A 21,277-nucleotide genomic window follows, 5' to 3' on the forward strand; every position below is an offset into this window, starting at 1 on the left:
AGATGAATGCACACTTGCACATAGACATATAGCTTAGAAGGTATATAAGCTCTGGAAAGCTTTGTAATATTGAGTTGGTCCAGTGATATTTTCCCAGCCTTCTCCCTGCACCCGGTTACAGAAATAAACTCCCTTCTTTCCCAGTTCATCTGCATCTCGTTATTGGGCCAGGAGAACAAACAGCCCAACCCTCAGTTCGGTCCGGGAACAAAGGTAACTTTAGAGAAAAGACTTGAAGGTTCATGCTTGTAATCCCGGCACTTTGGGAGGCTGAGGTGGGCAGATCACTTGAGGCCAGGAGTTTGAGACCAGCCTGGCCAATGTGGTGAAACCCCATCTTTACTAAGAATACAAAAATTCAGCTGGGCATGGTGGCGCACACCTGTAGTCCCAGCTACTCAGAAGGCTGAGGCATAAGAATCACTTGAACCTGGGAGGTGGAGGTTGCAGTGAGCCCAGATCGCACCACTGTACTCCAGCCTGGGTGACAGAGCAAGACTCTGTCTCAAAAAAAAAAAAAAAAAAAAAAAAAAGACCCAAAGGAAATGAGGAAACTACCCATGTAGATTCTGTGGGAAGAGCATTCCAGACAGAGGGAAAAGCCAGTACAAAGACTCTGAGGGAGAAGCATGTCTGGCAGATTCAAGGAAACAGCATGATGGCCAGTGTGGCTGGAGCAGGATGGACAAGAGTTCACAGTAGTAGCAGATAAGGCCAGAGGTGGGGATTGGAGTCCACGTCATGAAGGGCCTTTAAAAACATAGTAAGGATTTTGGCTTTTTCTCAGAATGACAGGAAATCACTGGAGGGCTTTGCCTAGTAGAGAAAAATGCTTTGCTCACCTTGGCTGCTATGTTGAGAATACATTGTTTATTCTATCATGTAATGAAAGAAGTGTATTAAAATGTTCCATTAATATCAATGCTTTGTTTCTCCTTGTCACTCTGTCATGCTTTGTTTTAAATCTCTAAGGCTATGCTATTAGGTACATACATATTTTAAGTATTCATATATTCCTGGTAAATTTAATATTTTATTATTCTGAAATAAGCCCATTTATCTTTAGTAATGATTTTTACCTTAAAGCCTAATTTGTCTAATGTTAATATATTTCCACTGGTTTTCTTTTGGTTAATGTTTACATATCTTTTTCCATCTTTTTATATTTGGGTTTAAACATAGATTTTAATTTATGCTTTTTGTTTATCTCAATTGTTTTGCATTTCATTTTCTTTCTCTTTTTTACCTTGTTTTGGGTTAAACTTTTTTTTTACATTTCACTTTCTCTAGTTTGGAAATTTCATCTACTGTTCCTATTCTTTTAGTGGTTACCTTAGAAGTTGTAACATGTGTACCTAATTTATCAACATCAAAAGTTACTTTAAGCTTTATTCTCCTCCTGGGTTATATGAGATCCTTGGAACACTTTATTCTATATACCCTGCTCTGCCCCCCCCAACTTATATTATTGTTATTTGGGATTTTAGTTCAATATTATTTTTAAAACTACTTTCACATTTTTTTTTTTTTGCTGTTGTATGCAGTGTTCATTTACTGTACATCTTCTACAATGTGTCATTCTCCACCTATTACTACTGCTCTTTATTTTTGTTGCATCATAGACCTTCCCACCTGGGATCATTTTCCTCTGCCTGAAGTAAATTCTTTAGAATTTTCTCTAGTGATAGTCAGCTGCTGACACACTCTTAGCTTTGGAGTGTCTAAAATGTCTTTTTTCACCCGCATACTGAAAAGATGTTTTCATTGGGTATAGAATTCTAGGTGGTAATTATTTTCTTTCATTACATCAGGGGTCATCAAACTTTTTCTATAAATAGGCTGACAGTAAATATGTTAGGCTTTGCAAACCATGTAGTCTCTGCCACAACTATTTAATGCTGCCATAGTGGTGTGAAAGAAGCCATAAACAATACGTTAGTGGGTGTGGCTATGTTCCAATAAAATCTTATTTGAAAAACATGCAGCAGGCTAGTTTTGCCCCATGGAGCCACAATTTGCTGAACCCTGCACTACACTGAAGATATTATTCCACTATTTCTTACATTATTGCCACAGAGAAGTCAGCTATTAGTCTAACTGAAATTCCTTAGAAGTAATCTGTCTTTTCTCCGACTGCTTTTAAAATTTTCTCTGTCTTTGGTTTTCAACAGTTTCACTCTGGTAAGTCTAAGTGTGGATATCATTTTATGTATTCTGTTTGGGATTCACTGGACCTCTTAAATCTGTAAATTCATGTCTTTAAGCAATTCTGGGAAATCCCCAGTCAATATCTCTTTAATTATTGCCTCTGTCCCACTTTCTCCTCTCTGGACTCTAATCAAACATATGTTAGATCTTTTCACTGTATTGTTCTTATCTCTTATGTTCCCTTCTGTATTTCCTACCCTTTTGCTTTTCTAGTATCATTCTGAATAACTTCTGATCTATCTTCGAATTCATTTATTCTCTCTTTGGCTATGTCCAACCTTTTGTCAGACATGTTCATTTAATTTTTACTTTGCTAGTGTATTTTTCTTCTTTAGAAGTTCTATTTGGGTCTTTCCTCCTTCTTTTATGATATCTTTTTCCTAGTTTCCTATTCTCCATAGATATTTTAAGTTAGTCATTTATTTATTAAAACATAAGTTAGCATAGTTTTTTTTTTTTTAAAAAAAACTTCTGGTAATTATCAGAAACAAAAGTCTTTCCATACTTAAATTTAAGTTTCTTTCAGGCAGAAAGTCATTGAATTTTGTTTGCAATTCATCTAAAATGATTGTCTAACAATATAAATATCTGCTAATCTTGATGTCTGAAGATCATTCCATTAATTAGGAATCTTCCTAGCAGTATAATTGAAGTAAATGTTTGTTTTAATCTTGCAATAATTCATTTTTCTTCTTCTCTTATAGAACACACATTTTCTTTGGAGAACAACCTATGCCCCAATCTCAGTTCTCATTTAAGTGGGTTGACTCTACCCAGCATCCAAGGCTATGCATTTGACTTAGGCCTGGCCAATCAGAGTTTAGGATTCCTATGGTGCAAGTGATTGACCCGGGGTAGACACGTGATTCAGTCAGTCCAATGAGTCTAGATTCCAAGATTTTTTTTCTAGCTGGTATCTTTCCACCAGGGACATCAAGCAGGCAGAAATATAATCTAGAGCTACATATAACTGTTAACACCATAAGCGGAGAGTCTGCATGGAAATGGAGGCAGCAGAGAGGAAACAGAGCCAAGAGATGGAAAAAAACAAGGCTTGGTGGCATCATGGTAGCTCTTTTATTCAGATTCACTCCTTGCCCTTTCAGTTACATGCACAAAAATAAACCAATAGCTCTTTGTAATTTAGGCCTTTTAAATTGGGTATTTTTTCATTTACAACCTAGAGTCTTGACAAGTAGAGTACCACTGTGCAGCATACTCTGCTCCTCATTCCTGTCATGTAATGATGATAATAATACTATCTGAAAATCACATATCAAGAAATTACCATCCAACATACCTTGTCTGTTTGAATCAGCAACACTGTATAATTGGGAGAAAATGTCATATGTTCTACAGGTCTTTCAATCTCAAGAAAATCCTCGATCATGTAACTTCTATCTTTAATAATAAAAGAATACACAAAGCCATCCTAGAGATGAGTGAGATAAACATAGAAAATCAGTCTTAGTCAATGCATAGTATACTTGCCTCATCAGACAAGCTAAGGCTTATTGATTACTTCTACTGCTTATTTGGAATCATCATCTATGTTTGCATAGATGCACTGTCCTCTCATCTTTATTTAGACAACTTTTAACTATGTTCCCTGGTCAAGCTTCAGTCTGATCTCTTTTGTGATGCATTTTTCAATTACCTAAAATTTTACTGACCTCCCCTTTTTTTGAGTTTCTCTAGTATCCCTCTTCTTACTACATTCTTCACTGCACAGGAGGTAGGAAAAATGAAGTAGAGTTTGTGTGGCTTGTGTATAGCAGTTTCTTTCCTTCAAAGGACACTAGCCCTCCTGTATGCTCTTTAATCATTATTATGTGCATTTCTTATCTCCCTAAATGACCCAAGGGTAGGCAGTGTGCCTTTTATTCCCTTCGGATCCTCTTTTTCTGTTCCTCACACAGTAGTAGAACATGGCAAGTATCCAATAGAAACGGGTTGGTTGGTTGGCTGGTTGTGAATAGATTTAGGTTAATTTTATTATTCTCAAGAGGAATTTGAGTTATTTTTACAATAGTGAAAACACTCTGAGGAAATTTATTTATCATTTTCTAGATTAGATCTGTTATAACTAAGCATGGGGACTTTAGATGGCTGGTTTCAAATGCTTGGGCCCTGGAAGGGAAAGCAGGCAAGGTGCTTTTTTTGAGCTCATCTCCATTCTCCATCACTCACCAGAGCAAATGCTATAATAGTTACTTTAAAGGGGGTTAAACAAACATCAAGGGTGGTCTTGAAGAGGACAAGAGTCATAAAAGGCACAAATGCTGACTAAATGGAGGAGGAGGAGGGGATAGTCCACTGCAAGGTTGGGGGAGCTAAGTGTAGGTGTATGTGCTCCAGATGGCTTCCTGAGGGTAAAATGTCTCTCACCCTGATGTCACTGCCTAGCTACCCTCAAGGTCCTGGAGATGTCATCTGTGGCAGTGAAATGGACTATGCTAACATCTGGGATAGTTACAACTAGACCTATGTTTTAGTGTAGGTCAGTTCCACACCTTAGCATTGTTTACATTGATTACAATGGCATGGAAAAACATGGTCTGGGCCGGGCGCAGTGGCTCACGCCTGTAATCCCAGCATTTTGGGAGGCCCAGGCGGGCGGATCATGAGGTCAGGAGATCAAGACCATCCTGCATAACACGGTGAAACCCCGTCTCTACTAAAAATACAATAATTAGCAGGGCGTGGTGGTGTGCACCTGTAGTCCCAGCTACTCGGGAGGCTGAGGCAGGAGAATGGCGTGAACCCAGGAGTTGGAGCTTGCAGTGAGCCGAGATCGCGCCACTGTACTCCAGCCTGGGAGACAGAGCGAGACTCCGTCTCAAAAAAAAAAAAAAAAAAAAAAAGAAAAGAAAAGAAAAAGAAAAATATGGTCTGACCCCTTTTATTACTTACTGAGGCTGAGTTCTAATAAATGACAGCAAAGACTTTGGAGTTTGATACACCTATGTTCAAGCCCTAACTCTTCCAATTACTTGCTGGTGAACTCTGTGAGATTAGATTCCTTGTCTGTAAAAGGAGGATGTCAATAGTTTCTATTTGATAAGGTTGTTGTAAGGACCTATAAGATAATACAAGTAAAGTACTTAGCTTGGTGCCTGGCACAAAGCAAGCACCAAGTAAATGGAGGCTATTAATACTGATTCGAATATCAACAATAACATTATGATACATGTAAGTTAAATGGGCATTCACAAGAGTCTAAGCTGCAGCTTAGACAAAGGATTCCAAATTCGTGTCTGATAAGCTAATACATTAAGTGTAGAAATGAGCATGGAATTGGGTTACAGATATTAGGTATTTTTTCATTGCGGAAGGGCAATGGATTTTTAAATTCTATTTGTGTTTGTTTGCAGTAATATATGGTAGTTCATTATATCGTCCCCTCTATTTTGTATAGATTTGAAGCTATTCATAATAAATCCTTTTTAATAGTACCCAAAGAGGAAACCATTTTAATTAATAATGTGACAGATCTGACATCCTAAAATATGGCTCATAATAGTAAATGGCAACAAATGGGAATTGTGAATTTTCTTTAAACCAATTAATTTGAAAAAAAGAATACATTACAATTCCAGAAGCCAGCACGCCCTCCTTCTGATATACCAAGGTTACTGGACTGATAAAATTTCTTCTGTCTTCTGGAAAAGAAAAACAAGGTAAAGCAGGTGACGTAATTAAAAGTACAATGTAACAATGAATAATAAAAGCTACTTTTACTGATGTAAATCTTATAAGTTGTTTTTGAATTCTCTATCATCAGATCTATGTAACTAACATAGATGCTAGATTAGAGAGAGGAGCAAGGCTGGAGGGTATAGTAGGAGTAAAGGGAAGAGAGAAAGGGAGTTGGGAGGGAAGTGAAACCTCATGGCCTCAGTTTTACAGGGAAAGTGAGTCAGAGAATAGGAAAAAAGGCAGATGAGGGACAATGCAATGGGGAAAACTTGCTGGAGGGGGTGGTATTTGAGCTGGGCATTGGCAGATTCAGAGACAGTAAGTGCCAAGGGAATGGGCTAGAGGCATGTCTGTGAAATGGTGAAAATAAATGACTGGCTCAGAAAACTCATACCAGGGCATAGTTGGAAATAATATTAATGGAGTAGGTAGGATCAGATTAGGGAGAGCGTGAAATCAAGGCAGAGCAGTTCTTGAGCTGGGTGTTAAAAGTGGCCTTCAAAGAGGCAATTTGACAGAGATAAACTGCATAGATTGGGTCAGATGTAGATTAAGGTCAGTGAAGTCCATCCTAAAGTTGTTACAGAAATCAAGGTGTGAAATAGTAAGAGCAATTGAAATAGAGAGTGCTTTGGACAGGTTTGAGGAGCTTGTCTTGGCAAGGCCCCCTCCTCCCAGGGTCTACATCTACTGCTCAATGAGTGGACAGTGGCTCCTGTGGCCCAGGCCCAACCATGGCCACAGCTGATAGGGTCAGGAATAGACACTATATCTAGGGCAGAATAGATCAGGTTATCTTTCAAATTCTAGCTGAGCAATATGGCAGGGTGTGGTGGCTCCTGCCTGTAATCCCAGCACTTTGGGAGGCCAAGGCAGGCAGATCACTTGAGGTCAGGAGTTCAAGATCAGCCGGGCCAACATGACGAAACCCCATCTCTACTAAAAATACAAAAATTAGCCAGGCGTGGTAGTGTGTGCCTATAATTCCAGGTACCTGGGAGGCTGAGACACGAGATCGCTTGAACCCAGGAGGCGGAGGTTGCAGTGAGCCAAGATTGCACCACTGCATCCTAGCCTGGGTGACAGAATGAGACTCTGTCTAAAAAAAAACCAAAAAAACAACACCTCTAACCGAGCAATAGAAAGGTAATTTTCAAGATGGCTTTTGGGCTTAACAGATGATCAGCCTGGAGAAAAGGGTTGGGGTGGGGGCAGGAAAGGGTATGATTAGCAGACTAAGCAGAATGGGCATATGTATAGAAAAGGATACAGCACAGTAGCCAAGAACTTGGACTCTGAGGTATTATTGCCTGGGTTCAGGTGTCAGCTCCACAGTTTACGTGGACTGGGCCATGTTTCCTAACATATCTCTTCTGTATCGTGGAGATTAAGGTGTCTCTCCTCATAATGTTGTTCTGAGGATTACATGAAATATGCATATAAAGTGATGGTAGAATGCCAACAGCACAGTAACAGCCAGAGGATTAAGAAGAAGGAGGATTCAAAGATGTCTCCAAGAAAGAGAAAAATAGGGAAAACCAAAAAAACCAACACCCATGGCTATACAGGAATATGAAGTAGGACAGTTTCTTACCCAATGGCGATTCCTCTTCTATCTTATTAAGTACAGTCACTTGCAAGGTGTCTCCATTAATCATTAAAAGATGACCCTCTTCACAGCCAATGTACAAGTCACTTGTTGGAGTCCAGCAATGCATAGTCGGGTGAAGCAAAGGATATAGATCATCTTTCGGCTTCAGGGAGAGAATAAAACCTTGTGTTAAGAAAACAATCACGGCTAAAAGCCTGAGAAATACTCACCAGAACAACTGACAAAAAGGAACCATACTTAACCCCATAGACGCAGAAAACATAGGAACATTGAGCATTCATCATAATAATTTTTTTTAAGGACAGACTGACTTTAATTTATTATTTGTACCTTTCATGCCCTCATAGCCTTAGATAGTTAGAAAATAAATAGTTGGGTAACAATCTGGTCACCCAGTGGATCAAGAAAAAGGCAAACCACCTTTCCCACTCCAAAAAATTAAACTGCTGCTGAATAGTGACACTTCTGTGGTGTCTGATTGAGATTTGACTCATAAGGAAGAGAGTTATTCACCGTTATCACCATTATTGAAAAGTTTCCTGAGTTTTTTTTATGACATCTAACCTTAAACTATAAATCACAAAGACAGACTTAACTGAAATGACAATAGGATCAAAATCTTAAACAAAACAACAACAAAACACCATGTCTCTCATTTGCACAATACCAGTGAATCTGTGTGTATAAAACAAAATGTGAAGATTAAAATTTGAAATTTTCTGGCCTTGGTATGTTAAACTAGTATTGTATGTGGCTTTTTTTTCTTTAAGACAAACCTGGGCTTGTCTTCCTATTACTTTTTCATCAATAAATATATTTGATGACATTTAAAAATGAATGTGAGTATATGGATTATGTAAGCAGAAACAATAGTTTATAATTCTGAGATATTTAAAAATAAAGGGTACCAGTAGTGTTTAGAAATGTTTGTTGATAATATCATCTCCTTTTTCAGTCCTCTAGAATCAGAAATCATTTTGATCACATGATGACAAAACATGAAAAATTGCAGTCCAATTTAATCCTGCTTTAGAAAATGTAAAAATCCATATATATTTCAAAATATTTGAGTCTCTAAAAGAGATTCCTATTTAGCAACATCTGTTTGAAAAAATTAAAAAGGTAGATGGAAAATAGAAATTAGACACTTGAGATTAAGTTCATGATCTTGGATCCAATTTCTGCCCAGATAACATCTGCCTTTGATTTCCCCCATGCTACGACTTAAAACTGGATACATTTCTAACGCCCTAAATAAGTTGTGTAATGTGACTCAGGGCTATTTAAAGTCCTGTAATGTACCCTTCTGGCATTAGCTATGAATAGATAATGGGATTATTTGATGTTTGTAATTTTTTAAAAGTCCACAACTTATCCATTTTTAAGACCTTATACAGATCGAGTCATTATTGATTCCCTTGCCATTGGTACCCAGGTCACAAGAAATGACATTGAAGGAGGGAATAGAATCAAGACATTTGAGATCTATTTTTGGTTATGCTTTCACTCATTGTACAGACATTAATTAATGTTTTAAACATTTTCCTCACTTTATTTTGCTACAAAATGAAAAAGTAAACTACTGGGAAAATGTCTAACTTAAATACAAAATATATGGCTTTATTAATAATCCATGAATGATTTAGGGTTGTCAAACTATAATATTACATTTCTGCTTTCAGAAAAATTTAAAATACACTGAGTGCACAAGTCCTAGGAAATAAAGATGTCTGCCCAGACAATATATCCACATAGCAAAACTGCAGGCGTACCCCTTAAATTTATACAAATAAAAAAGGTTTTAAAATAAAGATGTCTATTATGAGCATTTTAAAATAATAACTCCACATTTGAGTATTTAAAGAAGGCATTTCATAGCATTTCTCAAATGACAAGGACAATTGCCTGAATTTTAAATGTTTTATGCAGAGTTCGTTATGTTTGTACAAAATGTGAAATATAAGGGCTCCTACACATATTTTCTGCCCAGAAAAACCCAATTTGAGAGAGTAGAAATTTAGGGGCTCTGGCACCAAATACTAAACATAGAAAAATTTGAGTTGCAAACCTTGATGGCTGATCTCTTTGTTCTTCCTTTGCTGCCCCACTGTGGCTGAATGCAGTTATATCTCCAAGGCTGAGACCTGTGCTATAAAAGGAACTACAGTATCCACAGGGGATGGGTTCCAGGACCCCCCACTGATACCAAAATCTGTGGATGCTCCAGTTCCTTACATAAAATGGCATAGTATTTCCATATAACCTACATACATCCCCCTGTAAATTTTTTCTTTATTTTTAATTATTTTATTTTATTTTTTCTCCCATATACTTTTAAGTCATCTCTAGGTTACTTATAATACCTAATACAATGTAAATGTTTTATAAATAGTTGTTATACTATATTGTTTAGGAAATAACGAGAAGAAATAAAAGTGTGTATATATTCAGTACAGATGCAACCATACAACTTTTTTCTGAATATTTTTGATCTGCAGTGGGTTGAATACACAGAAGTGGAACCCACGAATGCAGGAGATTGACTATAATCTCTTTCCATAATTTAAAAAGGTGAATCATTGACATTCATTAGAGGAAATATTAAGGGCATGTAACCCTTTCTCTTGCTTGCCACAGAGATTTTTGAATGAACTAATCTTCACACTGAATTATTTTTATTTTAGTTTAGCTTAGTTTAGTTTTTGAGACGGAGTCTCGCTGTCACCCAGGCTGGAGTGCAATGGTGCAATCTTGGCTCACTGCAACCTCCGCCTCCCGGCTTCAAGTGATTCTCCCACCTCAGCCTCCCGAGTAGCTGGGATTGCAGGCATCTGCCATCATGCCCAGCTAATTTTTAACACAAGGGTAAAGCATAGCAGGTTCAAGAGGGCCAAAAAAGTGGAGCTTCTCCCTTCATCCCAAAGGTCTTGCAGGTGCTGCCCTCTGTTCCCTGCCTGTCTCTTGAATAGCACCCCACACCTCACTTCCACTTCATTTATCATGCTCCAGCCATATGCATCTTTTCTCAGTTCCTTACACATACCAAGTTCTCTTTTTCCCTTAGGGCCTTGCACATGCAGGTCCTTCCACGTGAAACACTCTTTTTTTTTTTTTTTTTTTTTTTTTGAGACGGAGTCTCGCTCTGTCGCCCAGGCTGGAGTGCAGTGGCGTGATCTCGACTCACTGCAAGTTCTGCCTCCCGGGTTCTCACCATTCTCCTGCCTCAGCCTCCCAAGTAGCTGGGATTACAGGCGTCCGCCACCATGCCCGGCTAATTTTTTTGTATTTTTAGTAGAGACGGGGTTTCACTGTGTTAACCAGGATGATCTCGATCTCCTGACCTCGTGATCCACCCGTCTCGGCCTCCCAAAGGAAACACTCTTTATCCTGCTTGTAACATGAGTAATGCCTCCTTGTCCTTCAAATCTTAGCTTAAGTGTCATCTCCCCAGAGGCCTTCCTTAACCAGCCCATCCCATCCTTGCTGCCCTGTCTCCATTTATTCTGTTGTAATAATTACCACATTTTGTAATGATTCAATATATCATTGCAAAATGTGATAATTATTACAAAAGAACAATACTCTTTACTTTTGTTGTTGTAGTTCTGTCTCCCTGACAAGAATGTAAGCTCCATGAGAATTACATGGAGCCTGCTTGGCCACCATGCGAATCCCATTGCTTAAAACAGTGTCTGCTCCATAGAAGAAACTTGATAAATCTCTGTTGAATGAATGAATGAATGAATGGGTGTGTAACACCTGGCAAACTCCCTTTTGAAACTTTCTTCTGCTGTTTCCTACGGCCTTGTTCCTCCCTCCCGGGTTTGCTCCTACTTCTGTGACTGCGCCTTCTCAGAATTCCTTTCGCCCCTGAGTTCAGCAGTCAGCTGGCTCTGGCTCTCTTTTCTTCCCTTGCACCCTTTCTCTCTTTGCTCATCACATCCCCTCAGTGCTCCCACCGTCCTATCTGTGAGAATGACACTGACAGTCCCACCTCTCCTCCCTAACACTAGGTCCACTTTCCCAACTTCTGCCCAGCATCTCCACCTAGGTGTCTTCCCTGCACCCCAAATTGAGTATGCCCAAAATGGAAATCACACCTGGGCCCCCTGTCTCTGTTAGCAATGCCGTCATCATCCCAGTCATCCAAACTCAAAACTCCAGAGTCTTCATCTCTCACAGTCTCTGTGGCTAATCTATATTAAAAACCAAGATGATCCTCTGTATCCTGCATTTCTCAAGGGATGGTTATGCCAATCAAATGAGATCAGGCTTCCTAGACCTCAACCCATTAGGCAAACAGGAAGAGGTGCCAGGTAATTACCCGGAAAGTCTCTGCCTCTTTGCCTACCAGCCCGGCAATGGCTGACAGTGGCAGCACGGGACCATAGATGAGATCTTTCGGCAACGACTGGGGGAAAACGACATCCGTTTCATTAAAAAATGACCCATCTTCTAGAGGTAATTTCACCGACCTGTAGACAAAAGAGGCATCAGAACAATGAGATGAACAGAAACTTCTTATTGATGCAACCACTGCATATCAGTTTAAGTGAGGTGGGGAGGTATTATAACTTGCAAAAATCAAATAAGAAGATAAAAGCCAAATGATAGATTTAAAAATATATAACAGGTTGTAAAAAGACAAGTTACACAGTTTTAAATTAAGTACTGAGGGATTATAAAAATTTTTGAAAGTTAATATCTAAAGCAGGAGTTGTAAATTTGAATACTGGATGAGGGTCGGGCAGGTGATATGTGACTGGTGAGGACAGTGGAAAATGGGAAAATATTTGTCCCTCCTCAAGGTGGCAGGGACCACTCAGTTCAAGCCAAGAGGGTTGTTGACATGTGAGAATTTTGATTCCAAAATTTCAAGAGAATACTATAACCTGGATATTTATGAGAAATCTCTTAAACTTTAAATGTTGGCAACTAATTCAAATGAAAAACACTGTAGACTAAAATAAATATATATTTAAACATATATTCAGGCTGTATTCAGCTACTTTTATAATCTCTGATATTGAGTTCATTTTCAAATTTATCATATATCTACTTTTAATTTATAATATGGTTATAAAGGTTAATTTAGAGAATTTGTGGTTTCATGCATTAAATTCAAAACTTCCTTGCCTAGATTTTATAAATGATAAACAATTTTGAAAAACAATCACATAAAAACAGCACCTACTACTCAAATGTAAGGCTGAAGTGTGTTTGAATCCTGCTTGCTTTGTGAACTAGGACAATCCACTCGTTTTATCTCCCATTTTATTTGCTTACAGAAAAGTCACAACTCAGTATTCAGAACTTGAGTAGAACGTTTGAGGGAGGCAAAGGGAGAAAAGGGTGTGATAAATTACTTGCCTGCCCTCACAAGGATCTGATAGAGATATCACCCACTTTTATTAAAAGGTGCAGTGTTGTCAACTCTCACTAGAGACAGATTTGGCTATTCAATGGGTTACTGTGAAAAAGAAGTTGAGACATAAAGAGCACTGAGCAGAAAGGCTTCTCTTAAGGCTCTCCATTTCAAAAGCTTTATTTACTAGCTTTAGATTCTCTTAAGGCGATTTATCAAAATTGCAATTTCAAGGGAATACTTTTGAGATCTCTTAAAAATCAAGAGATCCAACATCTCTTCAACTTTGACTTCATGGAGTACACTGAAAATGGTCAGCTCAGTAGCACCTTGAGTCTCCGAGCTCTTTCTCAACAAAAGCACCCATTATCACCACGGCATTTGTCACAGAATTTCTCTTTGACCCAGTTCTATTTAAACAGGTAACTCCCATGGCTCCACTATACACAACTACCCTTTTGCTTGCGGATAATGTGTCTGAATGTATAATCTGCATATTTTTTTTTTTAGATGGAATCTTGCTCTGTCCCTAGGCTGGAGTGTAGTGGCACGATCTCGGCTCACTGCAACCTCCACCTCTTGGGTTCAAGTGATTCTCCTGTCTCAGCCTCCCGAGTAGCTGGGACTACAAGCATGCGCCACCATGCCCGGCTAATTTTTTGTATTTTTAGTAGAGACGGGGTTTCGCCGTGTTAGCCAGGATGGTCTCGATCTCCTGACCTCGTGATCCGCCTGCCTCGGCCTCCCAGATTGCTGGGACTACAGGCGTGAGCCACTGCACTCGGCCAATCTGCATACTTTCTATATCTAACCATTTCTTATTTTTGAAATTCCAGTAGGGCATCTGAGTAATAGCAAAAGTCTTAACTCTCCTTTTTATACAACAGGCATGTTTTAAAATAGTAAGGACAAATAAAATTTTAGAAAATTAGATCATGTTGGAAAAAGCTCTCAGAGAACTTAATATTTTAAATAAATTAATTGGGAAACAAGTCATAGAGAATTCTTTTGAAATGCAAACAACCACTCCAAGGTAATCACGCATGTAGAAAGATGTTATAACAAGATAAGCTGAACGTATGTGTGTGTATGTGTGTGTATGCATATATATGTATGTATAAAGCCACTTAATTCATCAAATTGACCCAATCACATTACACGAATGCAAACAAAGACCACCATGTTGCTACTGTTGTAACAAAGGCTCCTACCTTGCTCTGAAACAATGCTCCTGGTTACTTCTTTCAATGGTCCACACGCTCACTGTACTTGGACTTGATAAGCACAGCTGGCGCCAGTTCATGGGGTTAAAAGACATTTGGTTCACATCCATTCCAGGCTGTGATTTCTTACACAAAATGATACTCGATTCCCAGTTCCTTAGAGAAAAATAGCATTTGATGAAAAAAAGTTCATTTGAATTTCATGTATTTAGAACATTTATCTATTTTTTAATTTACATAAATTGGGATATAATTTATGATACAATTTATATAATCAATGACCTTAATGTCAAATTTATAAATAATTATGCTTATCATTGTATTGTATCCTAAGAAAGCAAAAAAACTATGTTTTAAAAACACTATACTGTCATATGCTATACCAAGGCTATTTTATCTTCTTTAATAATTTTGCAATTTAACTCAGCCAAACCTAGAAAATGAAATATATCATCACATTTGCTACAAAACAAGTGTAAGTGCCTGAATCTGTAAGTACTACATGTGAGTACTCCATATGGATCTGGGGGTACTGTTCTCATCGATGCCAATTGATCATTTATTGAGTTTTTAAAATTAAAGTGGTGCCAGGCGCGGTGGCTCACGCCTGTAATCCCAGCACTTTGGGAGGCCAAAGCGGGTGGATCACGAGGTCAGGAGTTCAAGACCAGCCTGGCCAATATGGTGAAACCTGTCTCTACTAAAAATACAAAAATTAGCTGGGTATGGTGGCACACGCCTGTAATCCCAGCTACTTGGGAGGCTGAGGCAGGAGCATCGCTTGAACCTGGGAGGCGGAGGTTGCAGTGAGCCAAGATTGTGCCACTGCACTCCAGCCTGGGCAACAGAGCAAGACTCCATCTCAAAAATAAATAAATAAATAAATAAATAAATAAATAAATAAATAAAGTGGTGTATTTTAAAATGGATTTATTCATTTACCCATTTAAGAGAATATCCTGAACTCCTACCATGAACAAAGTCCCTTGCTAGATGAAGGAAAAGAAAAAAATTAAATGTGAGCTATGCCCTCAAATGAGGGGCCAGAACTCCATTCAGAGTTGTGATTAGGAAACTGGAGCTAATATTGATTGAGCTTAGCTTGCCTTTCACTCCCTCCTGCCCTCATCCTTCATTCCCTATCACAAATGCCCTGCCCAACACATCAACCACACTCTTGCTGGAATCTCTGGTTCCCTTGATCCTTTGACTTTTTGCATCAGGTACCTGGCAAAGACCGTCATCCCTGGATGGAGACAACTGAAAGCCTGGGCTGCTAGAGACATGGGAACAAAGACTACAGGACTGTGCATGGCAGTGACACCATAAACTTGTGGTTGCCACCCCCCACCAGACCCTCAATAGGATCTCCAATCCTGCTATGTTTCTCTGGCCAGTTCTCTCTCTCTCATTCTCTAAAATGGGCATTTAAAATATTCTCCCCTCTCCCGAAACCTCTAGCCCCTCTACTCCCTTCTCAATCTCAGTAAATGGCTTTGATTCCCATGAATAAAATAGAGGCCATCAGCTGAGAATTCTTGCTCTCAAGTATAACTACCCATTTGGGTCTGCATGGTTCTCTCCGCCTCCTCTCCCCTTACAATGGAAGGTGTGTCCTTCCTCCTACCTAAGGCCAATTCCACCACCTGTGCTCTGGGTCCCACAGTCTTGCCTTCTTAGGGACATTGGTTTACTCAGGATAACTGCATCTTCCAACTCTCCCTCTAGCCTGACTTCTTCCTGCCAACACACAAGTGCTCATCCATACCATCCTCAAAAGAAGCCTTCCCTCAGTCTTACCTTTCTATGTCTCTCCCCTCTCCTCAGAGTCAAACTTTTTGAGCAAGTTGTTCTAAAGTCACCGCCATGGCTTCCTCAGCTACACTTTCCTCATCCCAGGATACCTGCATCCTGTCACCACCATTCCATTGACATAGCTATATCCACAGATACCTGCCTTCATCCTAAATCCAAAAGGCACTTCTCAGTCATTGCCTAACTTTACCTCTGCAGAACTGGGCACTGTTCACCACAACCACCTTCTGGAATCACTCTTAGACTCTCTGTCACACACCTCTTATGGGACACCACAGATCCTCTCTATTGTGTCTGGGCCCTTGACCCCGTCTTCTGCCTCGCTGACTCAGTGGCTGTCCAACTGTGTGTGCACTTTGACTAACTTCATGTAGGCACACCCCACCTGTGCCTCGCCTCACACCCACTTCACACGCCCAGTGGCTTCACTGGGGCTTCACTGGGGCTCCTGGGGACAATCACGACAAACCTGAAAGTGTGAAGGAATTACCACCCTGTGCAGTGAAGCTTCAATCGATGGGATACAGGAGTTGGTGGATAAATTCTCATCTCCTCCTCTCCCCTTCCCCACCCACAGTCTGTCACTGCCTGAGGACTGTCCTGATTCATAGCAGTTCATAGAACCTCTCAGAAGACCACCTTCGAGATAGAGTAACCAGTTGCACTCGGTACCAAGTGGTGGCCAGCAAGGTAATACGCCCTCATACTGGCTCTCCTGCCCTGGGATCACACACCCTGCTAAAGATGGGATGCATGAGCTCTTGCCTCAGCCTCTGCTTTCCAAGGAACCAGGCTGAGGCACATTCTGGAACCCTCCCTGCCTAGTGTCCTTCCTCCTTTCATAGCTACTCCTATGAGTCTCCTAGGTGGGTCCCTTCCATTGATATTCCTCAAGGTTCCACCCTAGGCTCTTCTTGAGGTGTTCTTACTTACATTTCACACTTTGGCTATCCATTGACTTAATTATTCCCAAATGTTTATCTCCAGCCCTCTCTCCTGAGCACCAGTCCTGGATATCTGTGGCAAGGGCATGTGTCCCTCAGCATTTATTCTCCATTTCTCCCTCTGAGTAACAGAACCCCCTGAATATTAGCCAGGCACATATGGCCACTCACAATGAGGACCTAATATTACCTAGCCACCCTTGAAGCTGGCTGTGGCTTATGGCCGAGCCAGTCAATGAATGTTAGTGGCAGTCATGTGTGCACCTTCCAAGCCTTGCATTTTTTTCTTTCTTTCTTTTTCTTTTCTTTTCTTTCTTTCTTTCTTTTTCTTTCTTTTTGAAATATCATTACTTTAGTGTTCCAGGCATTTTAAATATTCATACAATTTCCTTATTTCAGCAGTCATTTCCTCTCCAGTATAGATTTTGTGTCCAGGATCAGAGCCATGTACATCACTGAATTTTCTCTACAGCACTCGCATGCTACATAGGACCCACTCCGGCACCCATGTCTTTGCTAGTAGAGCCTCTCACCACACCCGCAAGAGGGCTGGACCTTCCGTTGCTTGACATGGCCTCCACTGCGAATGAAAACACACTTTGTAGCTTCGATCCCGGTACATTTCCAGCACTCCCAGGTGTTCCATGTATGTGGCAATCATCCTGCAGAGCTAGTGATACATCAGGTCAGCTGGTACCTATGCCAGCACCTGCTCCACTGTATCATACAGATGCTGAGGCACTTAAGTGTTCTGGGTAAAATGGAGTTCATAATTGCCATAGGAGTTGAGTGTGGAGGAAGGGGACTTTCTCTCAATAATTAATACCCTTAATACAAATTTAGCAGATTTATAATTTCAGGTCTGTTTACATTTGTTGTCAAAGCTTCATAAACTATTTACATAAATGAAAGCATGTTCGAGTTTCTAAATGTTGCTATGACAAGCAAACAGAGAAACTGCTTAGACAACACTTGCTTGCGCCGTAAATACATATGGCAACACCTGGTCATTCTTAAAGAAATGCTTGTGTTTCCAAGGCCGGGCGCAGTGGCTCACGCCTGTAATCCCAGCACTTTGGGAGGCTGAGGCGGGCGGCTCATGAGGTCAGGAGATTGAGACCATCCTGGCTAACACGGTGAAACCCCGTCTCTACTAAAAATACAAAAAATTAGCTGGGCGTGGTGGCGGGTGCCTGTAGTCCCAGCTACTCGGGAGGCTGAGGCAGGAGAATGGCGTGAACCCGGGAGGCAGAGGTTGCAGTGAGCCGAGATCGCACCACTGCACTCCAGCTTGGGTGACAGAGTGAGACTGTGTCTCAAAAAAAAAAAAAAAAAAAAAAAGGAAAGAAATGCTTGTGTTTCCAAAAAGAATTTTTTTTCAAGTCATAAGCCTTATGCAATTCTTCCAAGGTAATAATGTGTTTGTCCTTCCTTCTCAAGCAGTGGTTCAAGGCATCTCAAGGCACATTGCTCTCTGAGGTTCTGATTTAACTGGCCGAGGGGAGAGGGGAAGAGTGGGCACTAACATTTTTTAAAAGCTTCACAAGTCATTCCAGCATGTAGTCAGTGTTGAGAACCTTGGTACTAAAGGCTCTTGCATCTTCCTACTGTCACTTGTCCTCACCAAAAGCCCTTGAGGTAGTCCCTGGGTCAGGCAATGATCTCTTTCATGCAAGCCCTGCATTTCAACAGAAGGTTTGTGCCCTTCCCCTCATCCTTTTCCCTCCCCATTGGCTCCCAAAATACACCGGTGGTTTAGGGTTCCTCTGCTGTTCCTAGGGTGTTGCCCTCATCTCTACTATTTAACCCATTATAGACCAGAGATGAGAGAAACACCCTAGGAACAGCCGAGCAGCATGACAGCGGGAGACTGGACGCTGACCCCGAGGAGCCACCACACCAACCACAGCTGCTCGTGCCCAGACAACTGCATGTGACAGAAGGAAACACATGTTGGTGATTTGGGTTTCTGTGACCACAAATGAACCTAAGTCCTAACTGATATATCAGCTGCCAACTAGACATCTCCGTTTGTTCATCTCAAGCACTCTCAGTTCAGTTTGTCCCCCAGCTCATCTTCCCCCATTGCCTCCCCTAAATTCCCTGCCCCCAAGCCCTCAGTATCTCTCTGAATAGCATCAGAGTGTCCCTAAGTTGCCCAAGTCACACGCAACTCTGGATATAACCCTAGACCCATCCCTCTTCCTCAGCACGACACCCAATATTTAGTCAGTTACAAGTCTCATGATGCTACCTCCTAAACACCTCCCAAATAGTTTCACTTCCCTCCATCCCTACTCCCACCCTAGTCCATGACACAGTCATCTCTCACCTGGACCACCACAGCCTCCTAATTGATGTTCATGCCTTGTTTCCTTCCAATATACCTTCCACAGTACGAAAGTATTGGAGATACTTTCATTGGAAATAATTGGCTGAAAGGAATCTTCTTAAATGCAGATATAATTGTGTCACTTCCCTGCTTAAAACCCTTTAGTAGCTCCCCACTGCCTTTAGGATAAAGAATTTGTCCATTAGCCTAGCTTATATGGAGTGTGAGTATCCTTCCCAGTATGCCTAGGAGAAACCCAGTTTAGGCTAAAGTGCCCTGCATTCATCAGCAACACCCTCTTTCACTCTCAAAAGCATCCTGATTTGGATGATAAACCACATGGTCACCTACATATAGGGCTGCTCATAAGCTCACCTCTGACTGTCCCTCCAAGCTTGCCTCTCTCATGGCAAATCTCTTGTTCCCGTTATCATGACCTTTTCATTGAAACCTGCTGTGCTTTTTCTACTTCATGGCCTTTGCACATGCCATTCCTCTGCCTAGGATGTTCTTTCTTCTCGTCACAAGGCTGATTCCTGTTCATCCTTTAGGTATTGCTATGGGTTGAACTGTGCCTCCCCCAAATTCCCGTGTTAATATCCTAACCCCCAGCACCTCAGAATGTGACCTTATTTGGAAATATGATCTTTACAGAGGGTAATCAAGTTAAAATGAAGTCATTAGGATGGGCCCTAATCCAATAAGTCTGGTGTTCTTATATAAAGGGAACATTTGGAGACAGACACACACAGGGAGAATGCCATGTGAAAATAAAAGCAGAGATCTGGGTGATGTGTCTGTAAGCCAAGGACTGCCAGCAAACAAGTGAGCAGAAGTTGGTGAGAGGCGCGGGGGCAGATTCTCTCTCACAGCCCTCAGTAGGAACCAACCCTGCTGAGACCTTGATCTCAGAATTCTAGTCTCCAGAACTGGGAGGCAATATACGCATGCTGTTTAAGCCACCCAGTCTGTGGTACTTTGCTATGGCAGGCCTAGCTAATTAATAGAAGTATCTGTTTAAACATTACCTCTCCTTCCAGGAAGCCTTCCCTGACCATTCCCCTCCACCAACAGACTATGTGAGATGCCCCTACTACAGGTTCCCATTGTGCCTTAGATCAATGAAAGCTATAAAAGAGCTTAGAAACCAAATGAGTTTAAAGCCCACTCAGCAACTCACCAACTATATAAGTTTAGGCAAGTAGCTATAAGAACAAAAAAAAAATGAAACTTGGAAAAAAGAAAAATTGTGTTGGCTTGATTTCTCATATCATGCTGGGAAGCATTTTCCAGCAAGCCTCCTCGAACAAAAACCAGACTTTGTACCTTGCTTTGCCCCATATCTGACACTCCTGGGGAATGTAACTTTGTTGTCATAATACATACTAACAGCCTCGATGTGATAAAGGCAGGCATGCTTTTACAGGTTAAACTCTAGAACATGTTCAATGCTATGATTGTATGCCCTGGTAGAACAGTTAAGTTTAAGGTCCTAAGGTTTTAGAGACCTCTGGAAAGATAATCATTCACATATCTAACCTAGAAATTTTATGTAACCACTACTTTTTCTAACTCTATATGAGTGAGCGTGTGTGTGTGTGTGTGTGTGTGTGTGTGTGTGTGTGTGTGTTTGAGACGGAGTCTCGCTCTGTCACCCAGGCTGGAGTGCAGTGGCATGACCTTGGCTCACTGCAACCTCTGCTTCCCAGGTTCAAGTGATTCTCCTGCCTCAGCCTCCTGAGTAGCTGGGATTACAGGCACCCACCACCACTCTGGCTAATTTTTGTATTTTTAGTAGAGATGGGGTTTCACCATGTTGGCCAGGCTGGTCTCGAACTCCTGACCTCAGGTGATCCGCCCACCTTGGCCTCCCAAAGTGTTGGGATTACAGGCGTGAGCCACCATGCCCAGCTGTGTGTGTGTTCTTTTAAGCACTCAGGAATTGCTATGGTCTGTTTGTGTGCTGCCTCCCCCCACCAAATTTATATGTTGAAATCCTAACCCCAATGGTGATGGTATTGGGGTATTGGGACTTTTGGGGAGTGATCAGGTCAAGGGTGCAGAGCCCCCATGGTTGAG

General features: G+C 40.8%; 1 protein-coding gene and 1 non-coding gene across 2 annotated transcripts in view; both read right to left on the reverse strand.

Moving 5' to 3' along the window:
• CFAP43 (cilia and flagella associated protein 43) overlaps positions 1-21,277 on the reverse strand; it is a 102,477-nt gene that overhangs the window by 70,276 nt on the left and 10,924 nt on the right. The window contains exons 4-8 of the mRNA NM_025145.7: positions 14,096-14,263; positions 11,844-11,994; positions 7,502-7,661; positions 5,800-5,867; positions 3,509-3,640 (exon numbers count right to left, since the gene is read on the reverse strand). Coding sequence (NP_079421.5) covers positions 3,509-3,640; positions 5,800-5,867; positions 7,502-7,661; positions 11,844-11,994; positions 14,096-14,263 — 679 coding nt within the window. The remainder of the gene's footprint in view (positions 1-3,508; positions 3,641-5,799; positions 5,868-7,501; positions 7,662-11,843; positions 11,995-14,095; positions 14,264-21,277) is intronic.
• MIR609 (microRNA 609) lies at positions 18,626-18,720 on the reverse strand. Its single transcript, NR_030340.1, has one exon. It is a non-coding gene; the product is annotated as a microRNA 609 (primary transcript).

This window comes from Homo sapiens, chromosome 10 (assembly GCF_000001405.40).
Source record: "Homo sapiens chromosome 10, GRCh38.p14 Primary Assembly".
NCBI classification, from domain to species: domain Eukaryota; kingdom Metazoa; phylum Chordata; class Mammalia; order Primates; family Hominidae; genus Homo; species Homo sapiens.